At 54.7% G+C, this 18,471-nt stretch overlaps 1 protein-coding gene across 52 annotated transcripts in view, besides 7 other annotated features; it reads left to right on the plus strand.

Annotated features, from left to right (window-relative positions):
• The window catches only part of PHLDB1 (pleckstrin homology like domain family B member 1), a 51,593-nt gene that overhangs the window by 2,321 nt on the left and 30,801 nt on the right, over positions 1-18,471 (plus strand). For 35 of the 52 annotated variants that reach the window (XR_947813.3, XR_007062463.1, XM_011542703.3 and 32 more), the window contains exons 1-5: positions 947-1,770; positions 5,060-5,140; positions 5,803-5,926; positions 7,285-7,455; positions 16,178-16,303. Coding sequence is in view for 50 of the 52 variants with exons in the window: in XM_011542703.3 (XP_011541005.1) it covers positions 1,654-1,770; positions 5,060-5,140; positions 5,803-5,926; positions 7,285-7,455; positions 16,178-16,303 (619 nt within the window). In the remaining 2 variants the exon portion in view is untranslated. Of the gene's footprint in view, positions 1-56; positions 1,771-4,537; positions 4,695-5,059; positions 5,141-5,802; positions 5,927-7,284; positions 7,456-12,620; positions 12,783-16,041; positions 16,090-16,177; positions 16,304-18,471 lie in introns of those variants that run through there. The other 17 variants (NM_015157.4, XM_047426640.1, XM_047426637.1 and 14 more) reach the window with 6 other exon arrangements.
• Positions 30-704: an enhancer, noted in NCBI's record as "H3K27ac-H3K4me1 hESC enhancer chr11:118479501-118480175 (GRCh37/hg19 assembly coordinates)". NCBI's record gives its function as "activates a minimal SCP1, AML or CMV promoter by ChIP-STARR-seq in primed H9 embryonic stem cells {active_cell/tissue: H9 hESC(primed)}" and the evidence as "EXISTENCE:reporter gene assay evidence [ECO:0000049][PMID:30033119]".
• Positions 705-1,378: an enhancer, noted in NCBI's record as "H3K27ac-H3K4me1 hESC enhancer chr11:118480176-118480849 (GRCh37/hg19 assembly coordinates)". NCBI's record gives its function as "activates a minimal SCP1, AML or CMV promoter by ChIP-STARR-seq in primed H9 embryonic stem cells {active_cell/tissue: H9 hESC(primed)}" and the evidence as "EXISTENCE:reporter gene assay evidence [ECO:0000049][PMID:30033119]".
• Positions 2,086-2,145: a silencer, noted in NCBI's record as "silent region_3950". NCBI's record gives its function as "represses an Ori minimal core promoter by ATAC-STARR-seq in GM12878 lymphoblastoid cells {active_cell/tissue: GM12878}" and the evidence as "EXISTENCE:reporter gene assay evidence [ECO:0000049][PMID:35858748]".
• Positions 6,695-7,212: an enhancer, noted in NCBI's record as "H3K27ac-H3K4me1 hESC enhancer chr11:118486166-118486683 (GRCh37/hg19 assembly coordinates)". NCBI's record gives its function as "activates a minimal SCP1, AML or CMV promoter by ChIP-STARR-seq in naive H9 embryonic stem cells {active_cell/tissue: H9 hESC(naive)}" and the evidence as "EXISTENCE:reporter gene assay evidence [ECO:0000049][PMID:30033119]".
• Positions 7,213-7,729: an enhancer, noted in NCBI's record as "H3K27ac-H3K4me1 hESC enhancer chr11:118486684-118487200 (GRCh37/hg19 assembly coordinates)". NCBI's record gives its function as "activates a minimal SCP1, AML or CMV promoter by ChIP-STARR-seq in primed H9 embryonic stem cells {active_cell/tissue: H9 hESC(primed)}" and the evidence as "EXISTENCE:reporter gene assay evidence [ECO:0000049][PMID:30033119]".
• Positions 9,282-9,797: an enhancer, noted in NCBI's record as "H3K27ac-H3K4me1 hESC enhancer chr11:118488753-118489268 (GRCh37/hg19 assembly coordinates)". NCBI's record gives its function as "activates a minimal SCP1, AML or CMV promoter by ChIP-STARR-seq in naive H9 embryonic stem cells {active_cell/tissue: H9 hESC(naive)}" and the evidence as "EXISTENCE:reporter gene assay evidence [ECO:0000049][PMID:30033119]".
• Positions 12,591-12,680: a silencer, noted in NCBI's record as "silent region_3951". NCBI's record gives its function as "represses an Ori minimal core promoter by ATAC-STARR-seq in GM12878 lymphoblastoid cells {active_cell/tissue: GM12878}" and the evidence as "EXISTENCE:reporter gene assay evidence [ECO:0000049][PMID:35858748]".

The raw sequence follows: 18,471 nt of genomic DNA on the forward strand, positions 1-18,471 counted from the left end.
CACCCGGACCCGCCCACACGCCGAGGCCTTCCCACGCACTCCATGCCTTACGCCTCACAGGAAAGCGCCCCGCGCTCACGCAGCCCCTCACACCCGCAGCCCCGCTTACACGCGCCCCAGCTCACACATGCACCCCAGTCACACAGCCTACCTCACACACGCACCCCAGTCACACACACAACCCAGCTCACACACGTACCCGTCACACATGAGGCCCCAGCTCACACACGAAGCCCAGCTCACACACGCAGCCCCAGCTCTCACACACACACCCCAGTCAAACACGAGGCCCCAGCTCACACACGAAGCCCAGCTCACACACACTGCCCCAGTTACACAGCCCAGCTCATGCAAGCAGCCCGTCACACACACAGCCCAGCTCACACACACAGCCCAGCTCACACAAGCAGCCCGTCACACACACAGCCCAGCTCACACACACAGCCCCAGTTATACACACACAGCCCAGCTCACACACGCAGCCCGTCACACACACAGCTCAGCTCAATACACAGCCCAGCTCACACACACAGCCCCAGTTACACACACAGCCCAGCTTACACACACAGCCCAGCTCACACACACAGCCCATCACACACACAGCCTATCACACACACAGCTCAGCTCAATACACAGCCCAGCTGACACACGCAGCCCAGCTCACACATACACTCCAGCTCACACACGCAGCCCGTCACACAGCCCCAGCCACACACACAGCCCAGCTCACACACGCAGCCCAGCTCACACATGCAGCCCCCTCACACATGCAGCCCCAGTCACACACACAGCCCAGCTCACACCGCAGCCCCAGCTCACACACGCGGCCCCTCACACACATTCAGCCGCCCTTCCCGCAGCTGCCAGGCTCGGAACGGGCGGTGTCTGTGGGGGCCGCCCCGTTTCCCGGCCGCGCAAACAAGCGGCTCCTTCTCTCTGCCCCGCCAAAGAAAGGCCGCTTGTCAGGGGCGGGCGGGCAGGCGGCAGCGGCAGGCGCCCAACACTGCGGCCTTGTCCCACGCGGGCAGCCTGGGCAGGAGCAGGCCGAGGGGTGCAAGGGGCCGCTACCTTGCGGAAACCTCCCTCCCTCGGCCCTGCGGACCGCGGAGAGGCACCTTTCCACCACCGGACACCCAAGCAACAGCCCTCGCTCCATCCGCGCTCTCCCGGCTCCCCCTCTCCTCGGGCCGCCCATCTCTCCTCTCTTCCGCCTTTGGGGTCCCGGTGGGCCCCAGCCTCCCTCTCCTTCGCCCCATCTCCCCGCCCGTCAGCCTCCCCTCCGCTGCCCTCGCGCATCCCCAGTGTTCCCGTCTGTCGTCGCCTCCACTTGAGGACCCGCCTGTCCTTTCTTCCCCCGACCCCTCCACCTCTGTGTTCTTCAGTCTCCCCGCATCCTCTGCCCTCGGTCTTCCCCTCCCCAGCTTGCATTTTTTCCCATCTCTTAGTCTGCCTTTCATTTTCCCCTTCACATCCCGGTGGCTCCCCTTCCCCGCCCCGTCCCTCTGCACACCCCCATTCATCTCTGTCAGGTTTTTCTCATCCTTAAGTTCTCTCGTCCCCCTCCCCACTCGGGCGTCCCCCGCTGGGCTCCCCGCCTCAGTTTCCTTCCCTTCCTGACTCCTTCCTCTGACGGCGGCCCTTTCTCGAGGGCGGATGTGCGCCTGGAGGGCGAAGGCGGCGGCCGAGAGGACCCCAGCTCGGCCTGGCGGGCCTCTGGCCACAGCCATGCACCGCTTGGGCCGAGGCCGAGGCCGACCCCCAGGGACACAGGTGAGGCCGGGCGACCCGCGGGGCTCCGGGGAGCGCCCGAGCAGTGGCCCCGCGAAGGGCCGGGTCTGGTGCTCTGGGGCTGGCTTTGGACCTCTCGTCCTGGGACTCCGTGGGAGCCCGGGAGCTGTGTCAGTGCCCGTTGGTGCTGGAGCCAGTCGGCCCTTCCTTGGCCTCCTTCAGGCGGGGGCCAAGACCCCCGAGAGTTCACTCTGGGTGCTCCACTCGGCGGAGAGGGCTTCAGACTGGTGTCCCGCGTGGCTGGGGTGTCGGCGCATTCCCGCGGGGGAGGAGGCCGAGGGCCCGGGCCGGGGTCACCTGCCGGCGCCCCGGCCTTGCGCACAGAGGGCCTTGCCTGTCGCTCGTCAAATCCAGACACCTGGGCCTCCGCCACTCGGCTGCCGGGGCGGCACTGGGGCGTCTGTACCCAGCGTGCGGGAGGGCACCCAGGGCCGGACGCGCACCGCAGGGGTCTTTTTTTGGCCGCGGGGCCGGGCGGGCGGGTAATGACAGCCGGGTTGCTGGGGAGCCGCGGGCCAGATGGAAGCGGGGCCGCAGGTGAGGGACGTCCCTCGCGTAGCGCCACTCAGCCGCCGGGGCCAGAGCGGGAGTCAAGGTGAGGGCGCCCCCAGGTGGCCGCTCTCGGCCGCGGCGATCGCCCTTTGGGAAAGCACCGCCTGAGTGCAGGGCAGGTTGGCCTGGTGTCTCTTTCCACTTCTCTTGGATCAGGTTACTGTGCTGGGGCCACAGCCTCGCACCTCCCAATCTCTCCATCTTTTCTTATCTTCTCCCCACACCTCTCTCCTTATCTCTCCCTTTACTTTCGCCTCCTTATTCTCTTCTCTCCTCTAATCACTCTTGTTCTCCATCGGCCTTACTCCTTTACAATCTTTATCTCCACTTGAAGTTCTTGGGTGTAAATAAATGAGCACACCACAGCTGCCCCACACGGCGATAGTGACCAATACTCCAATATGACAGATAAATAAACTAACGCCCAGACAGGTGAACTGCCTTGCTCCAGGTCACACAGCTCATAATAATAAACGGGGCCAGGCGCGGTGGCTCACGCCTGTAATCCCAGCACTTCGGGAGGTCGAGGCGGGCGGATCACCTGAGGTCGGGAGTTCGAGACCAGCCTGACCAACATGGAGAAACCCCGTCTCTACTAAAAATACAAAATTAGCTGGGCTTGGTGGCAGGAGAATCGCTTGAACCCGGGAGGTGGAGGTTGCGGTAAGCCGAGATAGCACCGCTGCACTCCAGCCTGGGCAACAAGAGTGAAACTCCGTCTCAAAAAAAAAAAAAAAATAATAATAATAATAATAAATGGCATTAAGTGCTTTGCTTTCACAGAATGCCATTTAATATAATACCTGAATTTCAGACAGTCCTTTTTAAAAAACTGACAGCTTTATTGAGGTATAATTTATATACTATAACATCCACCCAATTTAAGTATGCAATTAAAAGATTTTTAGTATATTTACAGAGCCATGCAATCATCACAATTTAATTTGAAAACATTCCCCCCACCCCACCCCCACCAAACTTGTGCCCTTTTACAGTCACTCCTCATTCCACCCCTAGCCCCAGGCAAGCACTGATCCAGACAGTCTTTTTTATTTTTTTCCATTACTCTAGTTTTATAGAAGAATAACTTGATAATCAGAGAAGTTAAATAACTTGTCTAGGATCTTATAGCTAATAAATAAATAAAGTCAGGGTAGAATTTAAGGCTTTATATATCCCAGTCTAAAGTTCTTTCTACCAAAGGATGATGTTTCTCCTTCACCATTATTTATTATTTTGTTTTTCTTAACCCCTTTTTTACATAAACTCCCCATTCCCAACCCACTCTCTTGCCCCTCCTCCCTCAGAAAATGCTGAGGGATTTCCCTGAGTCTAAGGAAGCAGTACAGCAATCTTTGTCCTTGGAAATTCTTCTCCATGGCCAGGAATTCTGGGGAGGTGCCAGGCCAGCTTGGGGCTTTGCATAGGTTAATGGCGTTTTCCCTCCCCTCTTCCCTGGCAGTCTTGGGGTGGGCCCCAGCCTGGGTTCCGGCCTCTCTTCCGCCAGCTTGGGTGGAAATGGTGACGGAGATGATGCAGTCCAGGTCCGGAAGGGTGGAAGCTGGGAGGGTAAATTTAGTAACACCATAGCTAAGGTCCTCGGGACCCACTGCCAGGGTCAGACACTCCTTGGAATGCGGGCTGCTGCCCCTACTTCCTTTCCAAGTCCCCTGGTAGATGGCTTGAAGAGAGAGTGGAAGGAAACCCTGTTTCCCTGGGTCTGCCTCCTTACCCCTCAGCCACACTCTTAGCTTTCCCCAGTAACATTTCAGCAGCAAGTGGGAAGTTTCTCAGCTTAGCTAGTTGGCCAAGGGATGGGCATGGGGGCATACATTAGTACACAAAGGTCCTCACATCTCAGATACCAAAAACATGAGCCAGGGAGAGAGGGATGCATGGTGGGTGAGGGGCAGTGGGGTGGTGGTGGGGAGTATTCAAGTTCTGGCTCTGGAATCTGTCTTACTCCTGGTTCTAATGGTTTAAGCTTCCTATAGCACCTAGCCAATTAAGAACCCAAGAGTTGAGCCCAATATTCCCAGTATTAGTTATCACTAAAGTTTTTTGTTTTTAATTAAAAAAAATTTTTTTAGCTGATTGTGTTGGGTTGAGGTTGCTTTCTGGGGAAGAAAAGGTGTAGGAGTTGAGACATCTGGAGATAGCAGGAATGGCTGAGTTTTTCTTTTGTGTCTCCTTTAAGAAAACATCCTACTAAAGCCCTGGGAAAAGAGACAAATGGTGAAGAGGAGAATGAAAGGTTGCAGGAGGGAGCTCCTGTTTTAGCCCTGCCACCTACCTGGGGGCCCTCTGGCTACCAGTGTCCTTGGAGGGGCTTCCTTGCTGCTTCTCCCACTAAGGTAGATTTTCCCCACCCTGCTTAAGGCTCCACAGGGCCAAGGGTCTTCAGCTGTCAAAACCCGGGTTCTGAGTAGCATAGGGCAAGAAAGCACAGAAGTATAGATTGGGCCCTATGGGACTGTTTGTGCTTACAGTGGCAGGGGGCAGGACTGGTATCCATGCTGTGGCTGGCTGGAGACTTGGCACTGCTCCCAGACAACTCCCACCCAAGCTCTTTAGCTGCCTCTATTTCCCTTCAGCATGAGCATTTGGGGAATGATGGTGACTGGTGACACCTCTGCCCTGAGAACCCTGCCACAGAACCTACTTCTTTCCCTCTCCTGCCCTGGCCTCCCCACTCACCACCTTTCTGCTGTGTCCCTAGGAGCTCTGGAGCCTTAGGACCATGGACGCTCTCAATAGGAACCAAATAGGCCCTGGATGCCAGACCCAGACCATGGTGCAGGTGAGTGGGATCAGGGCTGTGAGGCAAGAGAGATATAATAGGGATGGGATCAGCTCTTCTACCCCCTTGTGGTCCCAGCCCAAGGATGAAAGGAGCAATTCTGTTCCTCTCTGCCCTTCCCCAGGTCCCAAGCCTATTAACAGCTCAGTCTTTATCTGAATCAGGTTAATTGGTTCACCCAGAAACTACCCATCGAAAGTCCGAAAGCAGTTTACAGATTGACCCTGGGCTGTATCACTCTCCTTGATCCATGCCTCTATCTTCCCTGTACTTGAGCTTAGCAGGGGCAAGCAATGGCCACGTGGATAGCCATGGACAAGTCTGCAGGGAGCTTGATTGGCCTTCCTCTACAGTACCCCTGCTGCTTATCCAATGCCACCCCCACCCCCCACCCCTTTCTCCTTGCTTCTGTTTTAATAGACAAAAGGCACAGTTAAGCCAAGACTTGCGATAAATCCAGTGGGATGAGTTAGTGGCCTAGATTCAGATCTAATTACAATTTAGTGGAATCATGCTCTGTGTAAGATTTTGTGCTAAGCCTTTCAGCACCCTCAGAGCCCTTCGGAGAGGGGCGAGGGCTGGAGAGAGTGCTGGTGTGACTGGTTTAGGGTGGTAAGGTGCTGAATCTAATGATGCTTGTCCTCCACCCGTACTACCTACAGAAAGGACCCTTGGACCTGATCGAGACAGGCAAAGGGCTGAAAGTGCAAACGGACAAACCCCACCTGGTGAGCCTGGGCAGTGGGCGACTCAGCACAGCCATCACCCTCCTGCCGCTGGAGGAAGGTAAGTGTGAACAGGGCATCTCACTCACCACCCCTCTATCCTTATAGGCATTCCTGCCCTGGAGGCCCACCTCCTGCATGTGTTGGGGCCCTTCTACTGTCTGCTGGTGCTCGCCTCCCCACACCACCAGCTTGCTTCCCTTGTCTCTGCCTCCCCAGACTGCCTGCCTTCCTTGGTAGATGATCTGGTTCCACGACTGGGCTTAAAGATCAGCTTAGAAACAAGGAGGAGAGGCCAGGTGTGGTGGCTCACGCCTGTTATCCCAGCACTTTGGGAGGCTGAGGCAGGCGGATCACGAGGTCAGGAGTTCTAGACCAGCCTGGCCAATATGGTGAAACCCCATCTCCACTACAAATACAAAAATTAGCCAGGCGTGGTGGCACGGGCCTGTAGTCCCAGCTACTCAGGAGGCTGAGGCAGAAGAATCGCTTGAACCCAGGAGACAGAGGTTGCAGTGAGCCGAGATCGTGCCACTGCACTCCAGCCTGGGCAACAGAGCGAGACTCTATCTCAAAAAAAAAAAAAAAAAAAAAAAAGAAGAAGAAAAGAAACCATGAAGAAAGCACTGAGAGAAACAGGAGAACACATTGCTCTTAGCAACCAATGTGGCCAAGAAGAAAAAGGGCCCCGCTCCAGGGCATTGTCTTGCATGGGAGGGTATACCATAGATGGAGAATGGAGAGATGGGAGTCAGGGCAAGATCTCCCAAGATGAGGCCCTGGCACAGCCCCCTTCACCTTTCAGCTTCTGCCCGCCCTCTCTACTCTCCTGGCTGCACTTGTTGCCTGGGTGATACTACATTCTCCACATTCTCCAAATACCAGTCCCAGGGGCTCTGTCAGCGGGAGGGGCTGTTCTTGCTGCAGTTAGGGGAGAGCCTGCACTGAAGAGAGAGGTTGCACTGAAGAGAGAGGTTAGCAAGGGAGACGAAGTGTTGCAGGTAGCAGAAGCGGGGGAGAGAAGAAGGAGAGAAAGGGAGATTTAGAAGAAATGAGGAGTAGGATGAAGGGGAAAAAGGATAAAGGACAATAGGGAGAGGCAGTTGGGGGAATAAGGGAAGATCTGCAGAAAAGCAGTCTTCCTTCTCCATCTGTGGAGTCTAGGTCCTACTGTGTGCTGTCTGGGTCTTCCCATCTCTGGGCCTCCCATTCTCAGGCAGAGTTTTCTCTGTTTGAGAACAGCGTCCATCACTTACTGTATAGACCAGGCTCAGGGGCCTAGTAGGGGTGGCCAGTGGTGGGCAGAGATTCTCCCTGGAGTAGGAGGTGGAAATATGTTTCCACTGTGGCCCTCCTTGCCCTGTCACTGCCTCCTCAGCCTGGACAACCCCTCTGATTCAGTTTGCCTCTTGTCTCCAGGGAGGACGGTGATTGGCTCTGCAGCCAGAGACATCTCACTACAGGGCCCAGGCCTGGCTCCAGAGCACTGCTACATCGAGAACCTGCGGGGCACCCTCACCCTCTACCCCTGTGGCAATGCCTGCACTATTGATGGGCTCCCTGTCCGGCAGCCTACCCGGCTCACTCAGGGTAAGGCTGGACACCTCCAGATGGAGGGGGCCTCTGTTTAAAGGCTTGTGTGTATTAGGCACAGGGGAGGCTGGCTGTGGTGGTTGCCATGGTAACTGCCTGAGTGACCATACTGGGAATGGAGTACTCAGGTGCATCTGGATGTGCCTAAACAACATCCCAAACCCTTTCAGCATCCAGACATGTTTTCAACCTGCTTTTCTTCTCTGGTCACCCCCAACCTGTCTCCACATACTATGGGGAGAGAAGAGGTTCTGATTCCCGCCATCAGAGGGCCTGGGGCATGATGGCGTTGTTAATGGTTGTTGGGGAAGAGCAATTGGAGCAGCAGTGAGAGGGTATCAATGGCATTGTTCCATGATGCCAAGAGGAAGTTGTTTTGAGAAGCTGGAGAGGAGGACAATACTTCCTGATGGGGATGGGGCAAGGGTAAATCTCAGGACATGCCTGCTCCTGTTACAAGACTGCTGACAGTAACTTTTGGGTCACGAATATAACCCAAAGCAATAGGCCATTCTGTTGTGTAAGGTAGCTCTAAAAACTAGGCCCCTGGCTAGGCATGGTGGCTCACGCCTACAATCCCAGCACTTTGGTAGGCCGAGGTGGGTGGATCACTTGAGGACAGGAGTTCGAGATCAGCCTGGACAACATGGTGAAACCCTGTCTCTACCCAAAATACAAAAATTAGCCACACGTGGTGGCACACGCCTGTAGTCCTAGCTACTCGGGAAGCTGAGATAGGAGAATCGCTTGAACCTGGGAGGCAGAGGTTGTAGTGAGCTGAGATGGCACCATTGCACTCCAGCCTGGGCAACAGAGCAAGACTCCGTCTCAAAAAATAAATAAATAAAAAATAAAAATAAATAAAAACTAGGCCCATAATTACTATGGTTAGCAGGCAGGTAAGCGGTTGGCCCAGGTAGCACTTTGACAGACCAGGTGTGCTCACCCTGGAAACAGGGTTCTGGGCATCAGTTCATACAGTGAGTTGTCAGATTAGGAGAATGAGAAAAACAGATTTGGGTGGAGGTTAGAGGTGAAGTTAAAGGCTAACAGCAGGACAGGAACTTTGGGCTAAGCCTGGCTCTGAGCAGGCTCTGATGGTCTGGCATTGTTTTCTGGGGGCTCTTACTGCCTAGAAGCCCCTTGGAAGTGGCCATCCTACTCACTCCACTGTCTCCTTCTCTCCTCTTCATCCTCCTTAAGGCCTTTCAATGTCACTTCCTTCACAGCTGATCCAGGAGACCTGACATTTCCCCCGTCTTTTTTTTTGATACGGAGTCTCACGCTGTTGCCCAGGCTGGAGTGCAGTGGCATGATCTCGGCTCACTACAACCTCCACCTCCTAGGCTCAAGCGATTCTCCTGCCTCAGCCTCCCAAGTAGCTGGGATTACAGGCACCTGCCACCGCCCGGCTAATTTTTTTTTTTTGACCCCAGTCTTTTCTTCCTGCCCTCGGGTAGGGGGCAGGGCATGGACAATTGACTTCAGGGAGGCAGGTCCACCAGCAGCAGTACGTAGGCCCTTGCCTTCTCCAGGGATTCAAGGTCTCTGACTTTGGATGAGAGGAGGAACCCCCAAAAATTGGGGCTTGGCTATGATGGCAGTGGGTTCCTAACAGTCCTGTTCAGTCTCAGAGAGAGCATCTTCTCTAAGATTTGGGAGCATGGAGATGAGACAATAGAGCAGCAAGGAGAGGCAGGGCAAAGTTCAAAGAAGGCCCAGCACTTACCACCCCCGCCCCAAACCCATCACATTCATCGGTAAGAACATTGTTCCCCTGCATGTTGTGAGCAGGGTATGCTTCTGTTGTCCAGTCTTTCCAATGCATCATTTAGCTCCCTGAGAAGGGGAGAGCCTAGGGCTAAGATGGAATTCTGAAGCATTTCCTGTGGCCCCAGTGACCCTTCCCGACTCTTCTCCAGCCAGAGGCCTACCCAGCCAAGTATGTACCCTCCCACTCTCTTCTGACCCTAAACCCCTTCCCATTTTCCCTCCCCAACCCCCATAGCCTTCTTGTCTGGGCTCGCCTGTCTCAGAAGCTTGGCAGCCTGTGGAGGGGTAGGCAGAGGCACAAAGGAATGGGTGTTCTTCTCCCCAGTCCTCCCCCTCCCCTGGGCTCCAGGAGCTGAGGGTTTCCTTGTCTCATCTCTGGAGCAAGGCACCAAGCCCAGCCCTGCCTGGCCCCACTCCGGACATTCTTGGGAGTGTGTTTCCCTGGAAACTGGGTGGCTCGGGGGTGCATGTGCTATCTCTGTGTGTCTGTGTAACCGGAGTGTGTTTATGTAGCTCCGGATGTGTTTGTGACTCTGGGCTTACGAATCCTGTGTTTGTGTCTTTCCTTGTGTTTATCGATCAGTGTGTTCAAGTGGGCGGCAGGGGTGAACTCAGGACTGATGGTACCAAAATGTCTGTGTGTGTACTCCTATGTGTATATGAGACCCCACTAGTCATATGCCTATCTGTGAGCATATATACAAGACGATCATTTTCCCTACCTTGTTCCCCTAATCTGGCCTTGTAGACGGGACCCTCCTCTTTCAAAAACAAGGGCTACTCTGGGAATAACAAGGAGTGTGCTTTGGCCTTAGATGCATCATTCTGGGCACTGTGCCCAGCCATAGGCAACTTGGAGAGACACACTTCATGACAAGCAGAGATGGCAGTGACAGGCTCTTCCAGCAGGAATATGCCTGGGCCAGGGGAAAGGGGAGGCAGGCAGAAAACAGATGCCAACCTTTAGCACAGAGCTATGAACATAGGAGCATGAAGTGAGGGAGCCAGGAAGGTCCTGATTCCACCCCCTGTACCCAGGCATCTCGGCACATCCCACATTGCCCTCTTCTCTACAGAGCAAGGGGTGGAGCTGGGAATAGGACCAAGGGAATGAGGAGGAATCTCAATCTGGGTCTAGGCTGCCCCACCCTGGGACCACAGCGCCAGACCACATGAAAGATCTGGGAGGGAACCAAGCAGGGGAGGACCCAGAAAGCCACCAGCTCAGGGCCCAGGCTGTCTAGACAGTAGGTCCCCATCCACTCCTAGCATTTCCTCCGAGCCCTGGTCTCCAGTCTCCTTCATTCCCTAAGCCTCTCACTGGTGGGTAGGGGCTTGTGTGAGGGCCAGCAGAGGAGTGTGGCTGGGGAGCCGGATCTCTGGGTTATCCAGCTGCCTCTCTCTGGGATCTAGGACATTCAGCCTCTTTTTTTTCCCACCCAGTTATTCCATCTGTAAATTGGGAGTGAAGCCTTCAACCTTTTTCTGTTATGAGACTGATAACGATCTTGACTAATAAAGCTCAAAAGAAGGAGGGCAGAGCAAGGCTCCCAGCTTCCCACTTCTTTGTGTCTGCCTCCTGCCCTATTTCTCATTGGCGGGCATCCTCTGTGTCTGCCTAGGTCTATCCAGCTGGCCCTCACAGTTTCCAGACCGATGAATCACTCTTCCTGAGGAGATTTTTTTTAAAGCCTCCCTTCATTTTGCATTTGACCCTATATGGTTCTTCCTTTTTCCTCAGAAGGGAATAAGATACGTGTGCACATGTGAGCGTGTGCATGTGTATGCATATAGTTGGCAGCATGGGTGAGTGGGCTAGTGGGCTGTTTAGCAAGAATGGAAAACTTGCCTGATTATTCATCTAAGAGGTTGATTTTATTTCAGAGTTTCTCCAGGGACTAAGTGAAAGGAAAGCTATGCCTGGGTGAGTGTGTAACTAAAAGGAGTTGTCTGGGGGATGTGTGCATGAGAATAAAGGTGTGTGAGAGACAGTGTGTTTAATGAGGGTGTCTGTGTGACTCAGAGCATGCAGAGATGAAGTAGTGTCAGTGTGACTGAGCAAGTGTTGGTGTGTATCTGAGAGACACTGTGTCAGGCTGTGTGAGCTGCTGAGAGCATAAAACATTGTGTCCCGTAAGGCTCTGGTGTGCAGGGGCCAGGTCCCTGGAACAAGAGGAACTCTCTGGGGGACCTGGCTGGATGGTAGGTATTAATACCTGACTGGGCCGGGTGCAGTGGCTCACGCCTGTAATCCCAACACTTTGGGAGGCCGAGGCGGGCAGATCACCTGAGGTCGGGAGTTCGAGACCAGCCTGACCAACATGGAGAAACCCCATCTCTACTAAAAATACAAAATTTGCTGGGTGTGTGGTGGCGCATGCCTGTAGTCCCAGCTATGGGAGGCTGAGGCAGGAGAATCGCTTGAACCCCGGAGGCGGAGGTTGCAGTGAGCCGAGATCGCACCATTGCACTCCAGCCTGGGCAACAAGAATGAAACTCCATCTCAAAAAAACAGAACAAAACAAAACAAAACACCTGCCTGACTCAGAATCTCAGCCTGACTTTGCGGGCTCCAGATATCTGTTTCCCAAGTAGGATGGGTACCTTATTGGGGTCGGAGGGCTCTTTGCTGGGTCTAGCACAACTGGATGTTGTGGCTGGGGTGCGGGCTGGCTCCCAGGGGCCCAGGAAGTGGGCTGGCCGGAAAGGGCAGTGCCTTGGTCCACTCTGGGTCATGAGTTGAGCTATGGGGAGTGGGGCCGGAAGAGGAGGTGTTTAGGGTGGAGACAGGAGGTGGGCTGAGTGCTTGCATTGTACAGAGCACTGCTTTGGCCTGAACTCCCAGCCCAGGGTGACCTTGTTACAGTGGCAGCCTGAGGGCCAGAGCAGGACCCAGTGACCTAGCTGGATCCTGTAGAGCCCCTGCTCTTTTCCTCTCCCTCTCTCTCTCAGATATGGACCCATGGAATGTCAGAGTTGACTTTCTGTAGATAAGGAAGCCGAGGCCAGAGGGTGTGACTGGCCCAAGGTACTACAGCCAGTCAGGGCCGGCCAGCCCAGCTGCCACTGACCTCTTACCACAGGGGGCTGGGAATGAGACCTGTCCTTTGCTTGGCCTCACTCCTGCCTCCTGGCTCTTCACTCTGGCCTCTGTACTTACCTCTCACCTTTCCTTCACTCAGTCACCTCCCTTGAACCTTTCCTTCCCGCCCACTTTTCTTCCTGCCCTCGATGCAGGATCCCAAGCCGGCTCCCTTTCTGCATCCTCCCGCCCCGCCCTCTCCATCCAGCTCTCCACTCGTCTCCTCCATCACTTCCTCTTCCCCTCCTCCTCTCCTTTGTCCCTCCCTCCCTGGCTCCCTTCCCCCGCCGCTGGTGGCCGGCCCGCCCCTCCCCGGGCATTGGCGGCTGCTCGCTGCCTCGCTGCTCGCTCCGAGCCTAGAGCCGGCAGCTCGGGAGGTCGGCCCGCCCCCTCAAAGGCTCCGGGCGGGCCCGGGACCTGGAGGGCCCGAGCTAGCGGGGGCGAGCGGTCCGGAGGTCCGGTTTCGGCGGTGAGTCCTCAGCCCCGGGCCAGCCACAGTCCCCAAGCAGCCAAGCTTGGAGAAGCTCAGACTGGGAGGGGCGTCTTGAGGAGGGTGGGCGGGAGGAGGTGCATGGGGTCCTCTGACCTTCTTTGGGAGCTTGAGGCTGAGAGACTCGATTGTGTGTGTTCCCTGAACATTTCTAAATGGGGATTCTGGGCTTGGGGGCACTTCTCAGCCGGTAGACCTTATCTTCTCCAGCGCTCCGGCAGTCCCCTCCTTAGGACCCACCTCCCTCAGATGGGGTTAAAGAGTCCTGGTTAGAATGAGGGGAGTCTACCTTATGGCCAAGGAGGGTCTCTGATAGGAAGGACCAAGGCCCTTCCTCCCATATTCCCTTCACTCGGTCTCCCTTTGGACAATCCATTCTATTTGTGTGACCAGGAGGGCAGTGACAGTAGCTCTGAGAGTGTGTGAGCATGTACGCCCATAAGTCTGTTGTGTTACTATGAGTGTGTATGAGTGTGAGCCTGTTTGTGTTGGTGTTTCTCCTCTGCATCTCTCACAGATAGGATTCACCCTCTCCTTCGCCCAGTTTTTCCCCTCCAGATGTGCAGCTCCTCCACCCACCTGCACACAGCTGGACCCTGATCCCCCCTGGGCATGGGGGACACTGATCATGACTTTGGCAGGATGGGCAGGGATTCCTGGGCTCCCTGAAAGGGCTGGCCTTTGCGGGTTGGGGTGGGAGTGGGCAGAGAGGAGGCTTCTTCCCAGAAACAGGCTGGCCAGACCCCTGGGGGCTGTAGGGGCCAGCATCAGGGCAATGCCTGAAGCTTCTGCATGCAAATAGAAAGTTAATTTGGGCAGGAGCTGGGCTGCTCTCAGTCCTGCTGCCCTCCTGCCCGCTCTATTAATACGGATCCAGCTCTGCTGCCTGGCATCACTATTTATAGCCCAGAGGCAGCATGGCCACACCCCCTTATGCCGGGGAGGGTGAAGGGCTGAGGAGGGGGCAGAAAACACACAGCTATAGGGGCCCAGGCAGAGGATCCCTAGATGCCTACATCCTACTTGGGTGGGCCTGGGACTGCTGGGCTGGAATCCACTCAGACTCCCTGCCTCCTTCCCAGCCTGGACTGTGTGGTCAGGCTCCTGATCCCTACCACCCACGACCCTGGGTTGAGTGGCTCTGTCTAGACCCTGTGAACTCATCACCAGTAGGCTTGTTAAATGGCTAAATGGAGGGGGAGGGGCTTGACAGGGCTCTTTCTGAAACAGCTGTGGTTGTAATTAGGTGGACAGTGTGGTTGGCTATTATTTATTCCAGTTTTGAATACTCTGGGATCCTCTTCTCTGATTGGTGACTTGGCAGGGAAGGCTCCCTCTCTCTCCTTTAGAATTGTTGGTGTCTGGCTGCCTGGGAGGGCCTTTGTGTATGCCAGGATAGTGAGTGGCTTTATCCACTATGGTTATCTGCCATGGGCTTCTCAGCCTACTAAACCCCCAACCCAAGCAATGCCCAGGATCCCAGGAACAGGCTCCTGAGCTTCTCAGTAAGGGACCTGCCAAGGTACTCACGTGGCCTGGGATGCCTCTTGCCCTTGCGGCCTGCCTGAGCTGAACTGTCTCAGCGTCCAGGAATGTAGACTTCTCTGCCAGTCTTAGCTCAGACTGGCGTGAAGCTTGGGGTGCCAAGTGGCACCAGATTGGGTAGACAGGAGGCTGAGGCCGGGGGCCAGGGGTGTGGACAAATTGGAAGGATTGGTGGTAGAGAGCAACAGGGCTCTGGCTTCTCCCAACATAGTATCTTCTGCAGTAGCCCTCCAGCACCTGGTGTGGCTGGGAGGTGGAGTTCTGCTAGCTACAGTTAGGCGCCTGTGGGCACATCTGCCACTGTGCACACTCCAGGTGCCCCTGGCTACATTTTCCAGCTCCCACATGCCCTCCCCCTCCAGGTACTCACACTTCCCGGGCAGGACTGGGCTTGTGTCTACTGCCTGGGAATGTGCTTGGCTGAGGCCGGGCCTGGTGGCCTAGTCTTGGCCTGATGCCAGGGGAGACCAGGGAGCATGCAGAGGGTGCTTAGTCAGAAAGAAAGGTGGTGGTCGCTCCCTAGACTTGCAGTGCACAGCTCTCCTAAGGTCACAAAACAAGAAAGAGTGGGAGCAAATTCAGGACCCCCCCGGTTCATCTGACTGATCCATGGTTTTTCCCCTTGTTCCCTATCTCAGTTTTTTTTTGTGACCCTGGAAGTTGCTGCCTCTCAGACTGACTCTTCTACCCTTCTACCCAAGGGGCAGATAGATGGATCATGGATACAGGCTGGGGTTGGGGGACAGGTGTGTCTGTGTTCTCTGAACATTTGTGTGTGTGTGTGTGTGTGTGTGTGTGTGTGTGTGTGTGTGTGAGACGGAGTTTCGCTCTGTTGCCCAGGCTGGAGTGCAGTGGTGTGATCTCGGCTCACTGCAGCCTCTGCCTCCTGGATTCAAGCAATTCTCTTGCCTCAGCCTCCCAAGTAGCTAGGACTACAGGCGCACGCCACCACCCCCAGCTAAGTTTTGTATTTTGAGTAGAGACGGAGTTTCACCATGTTGGCCAGGCTGGTCTCGAACTGCTGACCTCAGGTGATCCGCCCGCCTTGGCCTCCCAAAATGCTGGAATTACAGGTGTGAGCCACCATGCCTGGCCTCTCTGAATATATTTTTACAGAGTACTTTCACATACACTGTCTTATTAACCCTACAAGATCAGTGGTATTGTCCCCATTTTTCTGATTAAGAGAACTAGATTCAGAGGTGAAGTTACTTCACCCAGAGATCTCACAGCTAGTAAGAAGAGGAATTAGGACGAGGACTCAGATCTTGGGACTCACTCACCAGTGCTTTTTCTACTCTGTCTTGTGCTGCGGAGCCCTGGAGGTGCCCATCTCAAGCACAGGCAAGGTCAGGTGTGGACTGTGTGGACTCTGAGAGCAGATGAGGATGGGTCTTTAGAGCTGAGGTGAGCCTGCTAGTGCTGTGAGGTGGGGTAACTTCAGTCCTGCCTGCCCTTCCAAGTGTTTTCTCTCTTTCTTCCTTTCTTTTTTTTTTTTTTTTTTTTTTTTTTTTGAGACAGAGTTTAGCTCTTGTCATGTAGGCTGGAGTGCAGTGGCATGATCTCAGCTCACTGCAACCTCCGCTTCCTGGGTTCAAGCTATTCTCTGATCTCAGTCTCCTGAGTAGCTGGGATTATGGGATTACAGGCGTCCACCACCACACCCGGCTAATTTTTGTATTTTTAGTAGAGACGGGACTTCACCACATTGGCCAGGCTGGTCTCCAACTCCCGACCTCAGGTGATCCACCCTCCTCCGCCTCCAAAAGTGTTGGGATTACAGGTGTGAGCCACCACACCTGGTCTTCAAGTGTTTGCTTTCTCTGCAGGCTGCATGTTGTGCCTGGGTCAGTCCACCTTCCTTCGCTTTAACCACCCGGCTGAAGCCAAGTGGATGAAAAGCATGATTCCAGCAGGGGGCCGAGCCCCTGGGCCCCCCTACAGCCCTGTTCCTGGTAGGTACCGACGGGGGCAGGGTGCTGGGTTGATGGTGTTCCTGCAGCAGTCCTCCTCCTTGCTCACTTCAGCCACACTTGGAGTGTTAGGGCAAGACAATACCTAAGGTCTGGGCTCACTGCCACCTGCCATGGGCGGGTGGAGAATGCCAGGCAGTGGGGCCACTGAGAGCTAACCAAGGCAGTGCTGCTTAGCTAAAATTGGGAAATTATGTGCCTCGAGGGATGGCAAGCTCTGCCAGCTTGTACCCCACTGCCCTGGAGGATGCCACTCAGTGTCTGGAACTCTGGCCCACTTGTGTCACCACAGGGAGCCTCACCCTCTAGGGTACCCTGAGGGGCAGAAGGAAGCATTAGGTTGAACTCCCTGTAAGCTGTGGTGGGGATCATGTCCTTGGGCCTCGCCCAACCCTCACTCCATGCCCTGCCCGCTGATGACTCAGTGGAGCAGCTGTATTTTGTGTGTGAATTATTGATCCCCAGAAGAGAATTGGTGATTGTTCTGGGGAACCAACACAGGCCCCCTCAGCCCAGCTGCACAGGGGGGCAGGAGGGGTGCAGACCAGGAGGCTATTATGGGTTTACCATCTCAGACTTTGCACTGGCATTTAGATGGCTATGGGGTGACAGGTGCTGGGACAGATGGACATGGATGTCAGGTACACCTAGTGGGGTGGTATCAGCAGCCTAAGTGGATAGCCTGGGGACCTGAAGAAAGGTGAGTGATCACTGGGATTATCAGTATCCATGGCATCCCCTCTGACTATATCCCACACAGTCTCCATAATTTTGGACCCAAACTCAGTCTTGCAAAGGCTTTCCCTTCTCTTTTCCCTACCCTCGATCTTTTCCAGTCCTCTGGGGGCTCAGAAGCCTGGGTTCCCAGTCTACTCCCTAGTTAATTTTACCCTGCCCCCACCCCAGCCTTGTCATGTCACTCCCTTAGCTGTTTGGGGCAGTGGTTCCAGGGACTCCTATATGGTTGACTAGTGCTGGGGCATGGCAAAAGCAGGCTCTTGCTGGCATGGCTTAATGGGATAATTGGAGGCACTGAGCTTCACCTCCTTGCTGGCAGCCTGGCTTCCAGGAACCAGCCATTAGCACTAGCTCCCTCCCCTGCCTCTGATTGGACGAAGTGGTGCAGCACACACCCCTCACCCAGCCCTGCAGGCTTTTTTCTTTTTCTTTTTTTTTTTTTACCCCTGGGCCTCTGGTTCCTACATTGGGAGGCCCTGACATCCTATTAGACTAGGAGCCCCTGGAACTTCTGGCCAGCTCTGCAGCAGGCGCCCATCTTCTTTGTATAATGCCTTCTGTTTTCTTTTTTCTTTTTTTTTGTTTTGAGATGGAGTCTCACTCTGTCGCCCAGGCTGCAGTGCAGTGGCGCGATCTCGGCTCACTGCAACCTCCGCCTCCTGGGTTCAAGTGATTTTCCTGCCTCAGCCTCCCGAGTAGCTGGGACTACAGGTGCATGCCACCACACCCGGCTAATTTTTTATTTTTAGTAGAGATGGGGTTTCACCATGTTGGCCAGGCTGGTCTCGAACTCCTGACCTCAGGTGATACATCCATTTCGGCTTCACAAAGTGCTGGGATTACAGGCGTGAGCCACCACGCCTGGCCTCTTTTTTTTTTGAGACAGTCTTGCTGTGTCACCCAGGCAGTTCTCAGCTCACTGCAACTTCCTGGGTTCAAGCGATTCTCATACCTCAGCCTCCTGAGTAGTTGGGATTACAGACATGTGCCACCATACCCAGCTAATTTTTTGTATTTTTATTAGAGGTGGGGTTTCACCATGTTGGCCAGGCTGGTCTTGAACTCCTGTCCTCAAGTGATCTGCCCGCCTTGGCCTCCCCAAGTGTTGGGATTACAGGCGTGAGCCACCGTGCCTGGCCTACGTGCCCTTCTTGAGGAGGGATATAGGATATAGATTGGAGGAGTCTAGTCTTGGGGTGAATTGACAACAATAGTCTTAGAAGTGCCTATCATTGTTAACTGTTTTAAGTCACAGGCAGGAAGGCCCTGCCGATTCCCTTCCTTTACAGAAGGAGAAACTGAGGACAAGTGACTTGGCTAAGGTTGCATAGCAGGTCAGTGGCAGAGCTAGCTGGTACCAGAACCACATCTCCTGGCTTCTTCTCCAGAGCCTTGTTAGCCTCACTGTGCTA

Source organism: Homo sapiens, chromosome 11 (genome assembly GCF_000001405.40).
Source record: "Homo sapiens chromosome 11, GRCh38.p14 Primary Assembly".
In the NCBI taxonomy this organism is placed as follows: Eukaryota; Metazoa; Chordata; class Mammalia; order Primates; family Hominidae; genus Homo; species Homo sapiens.